Below are 9,522 nucleotides of genomic sequence, written 5' to 3'. Positions count from 1 at the left end.
GAACAAACAGTTAATTCTTTCGGCAGCTTTGAGTTTTCTTAAGCAGGCACTTTAAGGTGAGCTAGGATCAACTTAGGGATGTGGCCTTGAGCTGTGAGAAACTGTGTTAGTGTTTGTTCAAGTCTTTATAGGCAAAGGTTGAGGCCTAGTTGAGAAGGGGGCTCGGAGGAGCTTAGCTAGAGTTTGGTCGAGAAAAGAATCTTTGTTAAGAGTTTAAAGCTTTTTTTTTTTTTTTTTTTTTTTTTTTTTTTTTTTTTTTTTTGAGACTAGTGCTTTCTCTCTTTCCCAGGCTGGAGTGCAGAGGCACAATCATGTCTTACTGCAGCCTCAACTTCCTGGGCTTGAGCAATCCTCCTGCTTCAGCCTCCCAAGTAGCTATTTATTTTTGAGATGGGGTCTCATTCTGTGAGTGCAGTGGTGTGAACACAGTTCACTGCAGCCTCAGCCTCTGAGGCTCAAGCTGTCTTTCCACCTCAGTCCCACGAGTAGCTGGGACTATGAGTGCACACCACTATGCCTGGCTAATTTTTATAACTTTTTACAGAGACAGGGTCTCCCTGTGTTGCCCAGGCTGGTCTGGAACTCCTGGGCTCAGGTGATCCTCCTGCCTTGGCCTCCCAAAGTGTTGGGATTACAGGCGTGAGCCACCATGCCTGGCCTGGCTAATTTTAAAAATTTTTTTGTAGAGACAGGGTCTCTCTGTGTTGCCTAGGCTGATTGTGAACTCCTGTGCTCAAGAGCATCTCCTGTCTTGGCTTCCCAAAATGCTGTGATTATAGGTGTGAGCCACTGCACCTGGCCAAAAGCTGAAAACTAGCCACTTGTTCTCTACTAGTGATCCCTGAGCTTTGCTGCATACTGGAATCACTTGGAGGTCCTTAAAAAAATACTGATGCTTGGTTCTCACTCCCAGAATCCTTGATCTAATTGGTATGGCATGGGCCTGGGCTTTGGGATTTTTGACGGCTCCCCAGATGATTCTAATGTGCAGGGACATCTGGGAACCACTGCTTTAGATTGACATGCTACTCAAAGCAGTGTGTGTGCCCCAAGCACTCACTGCACTCCAAGCACTCAAAGCACTGGTGTCCCCAAGTGATTCTCATGCACAGTAAAGCTTGTGCACTGCTTTAAGCCAGTGATTGTCAAACTGAGTCCACATCAGTAACACCAGGAGGGCTTTGGCTTGTCAAAACACAGATGTCTGGGCCTACCCTCTGTGTTTCTGATTCAGTAGGTCTAGAATTTTTCAGGGTCCAAGAATTTGTTGGTCCAGCAAGTTCCCAGGTGCTGCTGATGCTGCTGGCTCAGGGACCACACTCAGAACTACTGGTCTATGATGGTACTCTCTTCCTGCAAGTACTAGGTGAGAGCTTAGTGATGCCAATTAGCTGTGTGACTTCAGTCATGTCACTTAACCTCAGGCCTCAGTTTTTTCATTTATCAAGTAAAGAGGTTTGACTAGCTACTCTCTAGGATTGCTTTTCGTTTGCTATAGCAAATCACAATATATGTGTATGTATCTAGCAAGCAGATATAAGCTCTAATTGATGTAAATTTCCAAGAGCAATTGCAGGCTTGTGTGATGACAAGGTGCTTCTTGATGCTGGGCCTTTCCTGGGGACTGCACTTTGAGCCACTTGAGCTAAGAGCTGAGCCTCAGTTAGTAAGGGATGACCTGGCTCTGAGGAACTGAGTTACCCACTAAGTAAGTGCACATGTTGTATAACTCAGGATGTCAGTGATTCCCCAAATGTGGCCCCCGTCCCACAGCATTAGCCTCACCTGGGCATTTGTTAGAAATGCAAACTCCAATTCTAGTTTGGGGGGATGGGACTCAGCACTCTTGTGCTGAGAACATTTCTTGGTGCGTAGCAGGCACCCACTAAGTGCTTGTAGGGTGGATGTATGAATGAACGACACATTTAGCAAATTATCTCTTAGGTTGAGTCACTGCAGTTAGTTAAACCTATCTTTTTTTTTTTTTTTTTGGAGATGCGATCTCACCATGTTGCCCAGGCTGGACTCAAACTCCTGGGCTCAAGTGATCCTCCTGCCTCAGTCTCCCGAGTAGCTGGGATTATAGGCACACCCCACCATGCCTGGCTAACTTTACCCATTTTAATACTGATTCTCATTAGCATCCATTTCAGAGGCTGACATTTCCTACTTTTATCCCCAAATTATTTTGGTGCCTATAGCATCCCATCTATGCACTGATTACAGGTTTCCAAACAATACATTTGAAATCAAAGCCCTGTTGGATAATTTACATGGATATCAGCTTATTTTTTTAAATTCACTTATATTTTCAAATGAGAATGACTTGTGCAGATATTTCTTGGGCACAATTTCTTACCCTTTTCAAAGAGAAAAATCAGTCTTTAAGGTATTATCTCTCACAGGTGATGGCTTAAAATTGTTTACATACATGCAAACCTAGGGGCTGAGGACATTGTGGGGGTGTCTCTATTTATCTCAATGGAGCTGTGTTACCTGGCCAGATTCAGGGAGGTGTGGGGAAGTGGAAGACTGAGGAAACCATCAGGCTGGGAGGCAGAGCTGGGCAGGGTGTGGATGCGAGGACCTGGGTCTCTGAGTTTCTGACTGGAAGGTCTAAAACATGGGTCAAATGAGATCAGGGCAACCAGGTTCTGGTTAATATAACACGAATATTCTGGCCAACAGTGTAAATGCTGACCTCTTACCCAAAAAGATACCCCTTGTGACACAGAATGCAGCCACTGCTCTAACATGACCCCTGCTGACAACCTTCTCCTTTGACAAGATTCCAGGTAACACAATTGCACAATGTGATACTCAAAGGCTGTCCTATCTCCCACTACTTAGGTTCACATTCTCCTGTAACTCAAAGGCAGAGAGAATTTTGCAAAAATTCGCAAGTGCTGACCCACAAACAATAATCATTCTAATTACTGGCAAAATTCACAAAGGTGCAGCCTATCTAGAGTTTTCTTTAGACCCTCCTCAAGTCCTCAGTGTATATTAAGCACTCAGGAAATGTTTATTGTTAGGTATAATGAGTGGGGGCAAGGATTTTGGTCATGATTCTTCTTAAAGTCACCCAAAAGAGTGGAGAGAGTTAAAAAAAATATTTCTAGTACTCTGTTGGGGCTGGGGGTGGCAACACCTCTCATCATGTATCATTGAGAAGTCCTAGAAGTGTTTGCCTGGGGCTTTATGGGGACTAAACTGGGGGAGAATTAGCACACATTACCAGCTCCTGGTCATCTGAAGATGTCCTCTAGGGAAGGAAACTCCATGACAGAAACTTCTAGAGAGGCTGTGGTAAACTTGGGCCATGCTTTCTGGATGTGAACTCAATGACCATGATGCTCCCATGCCTAGGACAAGCTCTAGGTAAGGTACATGTCGTCTTGAATGCTTTCACCCATGACCTGCTCCTGGAATTCTGTTGCAGCTCATACATGCAGAGGTAAAGCAATTAAACCCAGGAAGGGAGGCAGCTGGGTCTAAGGAGAAAGGGCTTATGTGAAAGAGCTCCTCAGAATTTCCCAAAGCCTCCCGTGCCACCCTAAAGGTCCTCCGGTCTTTGAAAAGGGTCCGTGGGCAGGAGACTGGCTTTGGAGTGAAACCAGTTGCCATCTGAGGAGTAGGGGCACATGTAAGTGGGACTCGGGTGCTAACTGGACAGCTGGGATTTATCTGGCCCAGACACACATTTTGTTTGGGATGCATAGAAGTTTTAAAAATTTTGAGACTTCAGATTTCAAAAATTGGGAGATTCACATACATATCTGGATTTGTTTTCTTTTTAAAAAGCCAGTCAAACTTCGTAGTTGTGAGAGTGTGTATGTGGGCGGGGGGGGTGGTTGTAGATCAACTTTAGTGACACTAATGTTAATAAGTTCTGATGGATTTCTGTTTTCTGAATAATTAAAAAATTCCAGCAATACTTGGCCTGTATTTAGCTGACTGAAGCTTAGTGGCCGTCCCCAAGTTTACCACATTCATTTGTGACCTGCTTTTCTCATCCACATTACCTATGTGAATTCTGAAGACACTTGAGTTTGCAACCCCTAAAGTAGCTAAAATGTATTGAACACCTTTGTTTGTTTGTTTGTTTGTTTTTTTAAGACGGCATCTCACTCTGTCATCCAGGCTAGAGTGCAGTGATGTGATCTTGGCTCACTGCAACCTCTGCCGCCCGGGTTCAAGCGATTGTCCTGCCTCGGCCTCCCGAGTGGCTGGGATTACAGGCGCCTGCCACTGCGCCTGGCTAATTTTGTATTTTTTTAGTAGAGATGGGGTTTCACCATCTTGGCTAGGCTGGTCTTGAACTCCTGATCTCGTGACCCACCTGCCTCGGCCTCCCAAAGTGCTAGAATTATAGGCGTGAGCCACTGAGCCCGGCCTGAACACCTTTTGTGTACAGAACTCTGATGCCATAGAATTAGGCTCCTGTAAGGACTATAGATGGCATTATTACCTGTTGGATAATGCTACCTATACACAGTGGACAGGATGCCTCCGGGTAGGGAAAGTTGGCCTCCTCACATTGGAGTAGATTTCCATTGTGTTGGCCACTGCTGATCTAGCCGCCTCACCCTACCATCCCTCACCCCACCCCCCGTTCCCAGCCATTTTTACCTAGAACGTCTTTACTCTTACGAATGGGACACCTATGAAAAGTTACCAGTGAGGACTTCAGGCTTTGGAGTAATTGACACAGGCTTTGTATTTAGAGTAAAGTGAGGAAAGAACACAGAGACAGTGCCATCTCACATGTTGGTGTTCATTTAATTTACTAAGTATTTTAAAAAATAATGCCTTCCCTCCAACAAGCTCAGTTTGCAAATACAAACAGTAGGTGCACACTGAAAAATAATAATCTCTAAATCTTTTTACTTGCAAAGACTCAACTGTTATTTAAAAAAGTCTCCCTTTACGGGTATGCAAATTTCCTACAAAATTTCCTCACAATCTTCAATCAAATTAAAGTTGGATTATATCAAGTGGCTGTCCATTCAGTTTCTTTCTGGAAATGTTGAGTTATCCTCCTGGGAATATTCAGAGTTTCAGGGTTTTAGCACTTATGGCATTATAGATGTCCTCAGTCATAGGCACATACATTTTTGCTGTGTCATCCAAGAAATACAAGGCATCTTTGATGACAGCAGGGTTAAAGCCCTCCTCCACCAGGGTCATTTTGCGGTGTTTAAAAGTTCCAGTGATCTCAATGGTGTCCTGAAAAACATCAAATAATCCACATTTTGGTTGCATTTTGCAATAGATTAGGATGCAGAGCAAGGGGTAGGGGTGGGGCATGGGGATCTAGCAAATCATTAGCATCCCTGGCTCATGTGAGAGCTGGGAAGTGAAAGTTAAAATAAAGTTTTCCATTTTAATTTATTTTTAAATGGACAGATAACATTGTGTGTTTTTCTCATGTACAATATGATGTGCTGAAGTACATATACATCGTGGAATAGTTTGGCTAGTTAGCAAATGGATTACTTCATATAGATATCATTTTTGTGGTAGGGGCAAGTAACATCCACTCTTTACATTTTCTAGCGAAGTGAAAGTTTTATATGATACCCATACATTCTGTTTGCAGGATCTCCATTAGGGAGCCCTTTGTGAGGTATTTTTTATTCCCTTAAAGCTTTAGGATCACCTGTGGGGAGGGAGGACCTGCCAAGGATGAGATACCTGTGCATAGATTTCTGAGCAGAGGGGTGGTGCCTATTTCTTGGTAAGGCTTCAGGTACCGCTAGGATATCCTGATTCATGGTGGGATTAGAAGGAGGGATCATTTACAGACAACTCTGTTTTCTCAGTCTGCTTGTCTATTAGATTAGATTGAAGACTGATTTTTCCTTCAATTATGTGTTAATCAAAATATCTGAGGATATTTCATTTTCATGCCACTTTACCATCTGGTTGCAAAGCAAATGTTGGTGCCCTATGAACATCAACAGGAATAATCCTATACACACAATATCTGGAATCTTAAGACCTCCTTTGTCAAGTCTTCAGCTACAGAATCACAGAGCTCAAAGTCTAAAAGTGAGAGTATTAAACCAACCAAAGGGTTAATGTTGGAGGAAGAAAAAAAATCCTCCTAGCGGTGATAGTTAAGTCTTAGGCAATTCCAGCTGGCTAATGTCCAATTAAATTTCACACCACAGAAAGGTGTAGAACTTCTGTGGATTTCTGTGTTCTTTAAAACTGGAAACAACAAACAGGGTCAGAGCATTTCTATTTGCGCTATCTGTCAGGACTCACCAAACAGACTTTGTGAGTTATGTGCTAAGTCTCTTGCTGAATGAACTGGCCTGTCATTGTAAGGAGAAAGGGATTAGGATTGGATTTCTTCTAGCTGTTTTCTGATATATTTTTTTTTAGACTGGGCCTTGCTCTGATGCCCAGGCTGGAGTACAGTGGTGCAATCATACCTCACTGCAGCCTTGATTTGCCAGGCTCAACTAATCCTCCTGCCTCAGCCTCCCACGTAGATGAGACTACAAGTGCACATCACCATGCCTGGCTAATTTTTTTTTTTTTTTTTTTTTTGGAGATGGAGTCTCACTCCATTGCTCAGGCTGGAGTGCAGTGGCGTGATCCCAGCTCACTGCAACCTCCTCCTCCTAGGTTCAAGCGATTCTCCTGTCCCAGCCTCCCGAGTAGCTGGGGCTACAGGCATGCACTACCACGCCCAGCTAATTTTGTCTATTTAGTAGAGACCGGGTTTCACCATGTTAGCCAGGCTGATCTCGAACCCCCGACCTCAGGTGATCCACCTGCCTCTGTCTCCCAAAGTGTTAGGATTATAGGCGTGAGCCACCGCGTTTGGCCTTTTTTAAAAATTTTCATTTTTAGTAGACATGAAGTCTCACTACGTTGCCTAGGCTGGTCTCAAACTCCTGAGCTCAAGCAATCTTCCCACCTCGGCCTCCCAAAGTGCTGGGATTACAGGCATGAGCCACCGCACCCAGCCTGATATTACCACTTCCTTATTGGTCTATGACACTTTTCTGAGCTTCCTGGAAAGTGCGGTGAAAACTTGGCAAATGTAGTCATCCTGGGAGAAGGCGAGTTGTTCCCTAAGTGGTAGGAATCTCCAAGAGGACAGATCATTGAACTGGATAATAAGAGATCTCACCTGTATTCTTAGAAACCGGGGCCTTGCATAACTAGGTAGGTAATCAGCAATGTGCTGAAAGAGTTTCTTTCCATCAAATTCATGGTTTTCTTTCATTTTGATGGAGGCCATGCCAATGCGACCCTCATGATCTAGAAATAAAGTGAGAAAAAATTAGAAGTGTTAAGGCTATTTATGATGCTTTATTAGTTCAAAGAACTGTGGGCTCAGACAACATTTATAGCATGGGTTTCATTTGGATAGCTGGAATTTTTATTAAAAATACATGAAGATACTGTAAAGTGATTGTACTAATACTAATAGCAATAATAACAGTTGGTTGAATCTTTATTATATTCCAGGCCCTATACTAAGTGTGTTGTATTGATGATCTCACTTAATCCTCACAACAACCTTCTGAAGAGATGTAGATATTATTTCCATTTTACAGATGAAGAAACTGAGGCTTAAAGACATTAAGAGACTTATTCAAGGTCAGACAGCAAATACTAGGCAGGGTACAGAATTGAATTCAGGCAGCCTGGCTCCAGATCCTGTGCTTATAACCATCATCCTTCTTTCTAGCAGCCTATACAAACACATCTTAGTAGGGAGTAGGTTGGACTGGTGGCTACAGGAAGTTACTTTAGACTCCAGTGAAAGTCCTTGCTCCACCTCCATGCATGACTTACTGAGCTTGGGTTGTTCTTCAGGTTGCAATGTCAGGTTTGTTGCACTTCTGGGCACAAATACCACCTTGGAGACCTACTTATCTAATCAAGGTTCTAATGGCTTTTCTTGTCTGCATTTTGGAGAGGATGTGGGACAGGAGGTGAAGGCAGGCACAGGGAGGAGCTGTTTTGTGCCCTCCCATTAAGGCCCATTAGTCCCAAGAGGATGTGCTCTCCACAGAGAGAACAGATCCTACATCAGGGAATTTAGCCCAGAGAAGTTTCCAACAATTACCACTGCCTTCTTGTGAGGACAGTGGTAATTAGGTATTAATGTATCTTCTACCTGATCCAGCAGACCCAGCGGGAGTCCAGTTCCACTTCCCTAAACTACTCAGCTGTAATCAGAGAGGAGACAGGAGCCTCCCTTGGTTACCTGGGCCCCAGCTTTCGAAATCTCTCCTATGGTGATTGTGTGTTTACCTATAGCTCTAAAGAAGGCAAACAGCAAAAGGAAAAAAAGATGCCCCCTCATTTGGTTTGCTTCTTGTCTGAGGGAGAGAGGCAGTGGCACCAGATCCTCTTAGTTTAGGGTCCCTAGCACCTGTCTTAGAAATCTCAAGTGTCTCCAATAAGCTCCTTTTAGAATTAAGGCTCATGCAACAGAAATCCTCCACATTCACCGTCTCCTTGCTTCTTGCTCTGGTAGTAGCGACGCTGGACCTACGGGCAAATGGGCCTGTCAGGTCTCAGGCCTCTGCCCCAACTCTCGGAGGGTGGTTTGGGACTAGTTCAGCTTCAGGGGGAATGGTTCCAGCCTATAGGAGCTCTGGGCTAATTGTAAAGGTCAATTTTGGCCAAGGGTTCTCTAGAGCTGCACTGTCTAATATGACACCCACTGGTTATTTGTGGCTATTAAAACTAAAATAAATTATAATTAAATATTATGAAAAATTCAGTTCCTTAGTTGCACTAGCCACATTTCAAGTGTTCCATAGTGACATGGTGGCTATTGGCTATCATACTGGACAGTGCAGATATGGAACATTTCCATCATTGCAGAAAGTTCTACAGAGTAGTTGGGCAGTTCAGGTGTGACACCTAGAAAAAGTGAACTCCTCTCCAGGCCCAAACCTGGAAATTCTCTCCTGTTCCAAAGCTGAGGTGTGTGATTGCCTTGTGCAGAATCACCCATAGTGGAATGATGCCTTACTTCAGACAGTACTGCTGCATTTCTAGTCTGGAATGGGACTGGCCTCTGTGGATGGGGGGCCAGACAGCAGCAGTTGTGGCACTGGGAATCACAGAATCTGAAAGTTGGGAGGGACTTTAGAATTTATCTCTAATCTTTCACTGCTGCAAGAGTTCTCCCAGGATCCCAGGTGGACATCCAGCCTCTCTTTACATGCCCTAGTTGGTGGGGGCATTTCCTATCCTGGGAGACAAGCCCATTCTATTGATGGTTCCTTTGGTTACAGGGGAGTTCTCAGGCTAAAACTGGCTCCCTGGTCATTTTAATCCATTGGTTTTAGTTCTGATCACTGGAGCAGCACAGAACACACCTGCTCCTCATCCTATCTGACTGTCTGCCAACACTGTAAGACTGTCAATCTCCTTCCCTTTGTTCTGTTTCAGTGGCTCCCAGAACTCACTGATCATTAGATTCACTTGGGAATTAAAAAAAAGACATGCAGATTCTGAGTCCCATACTCCAGAGCTTCT

General features: G+C 44.0%; 1 protein-coding gene across 2 annotated transcripts in view; it reads right to left on the bottom strand.

Moving 5' to 3' along the window:
- The window catches only part of SLC27A2 (solute carrier family 27 member 2), a 54,190-nt gene continuing 49,431 nt past the window's right edge, over window positions 4,764-9,522 (bottom strand). For both annotated transcript variants that reach the window (NM_003645.4, NM_001159629.2), the window contains 2 exons: window positions 7,151-7,281; window positions 4,764-5,229 (listed from right to left, as the gene is read on the bottom strand). In NM_003645.4, the coding sequence (NP_003636.2) occupies window positions 5,053-5,229; window positions 7,151-7,281 (308 nt within the window). In that variant the 3' untranslated portion in view covers window positions 4,764-5,052. The remainder of the gene's footprint in view (window positions 5,230-7,150; window positions 7,282-9,522) is intronic.

Source organism: Homo sapiens, chromosome 15 (genome assembly GCF_000001405.40).
Source record: "Homo sapiens chromosome 15, GRCh38.p14 Primary Assembly".
Taxonomy (NCBI): domain Eukaryota; kingdom Metazoa; phylum Chordata; class Mammalia; order Primates; family Hominidae; genus Homo; species Homo sapiens.
This window is presented reverse-complemented; position numbering and strand designations above follow the sequence as displayed.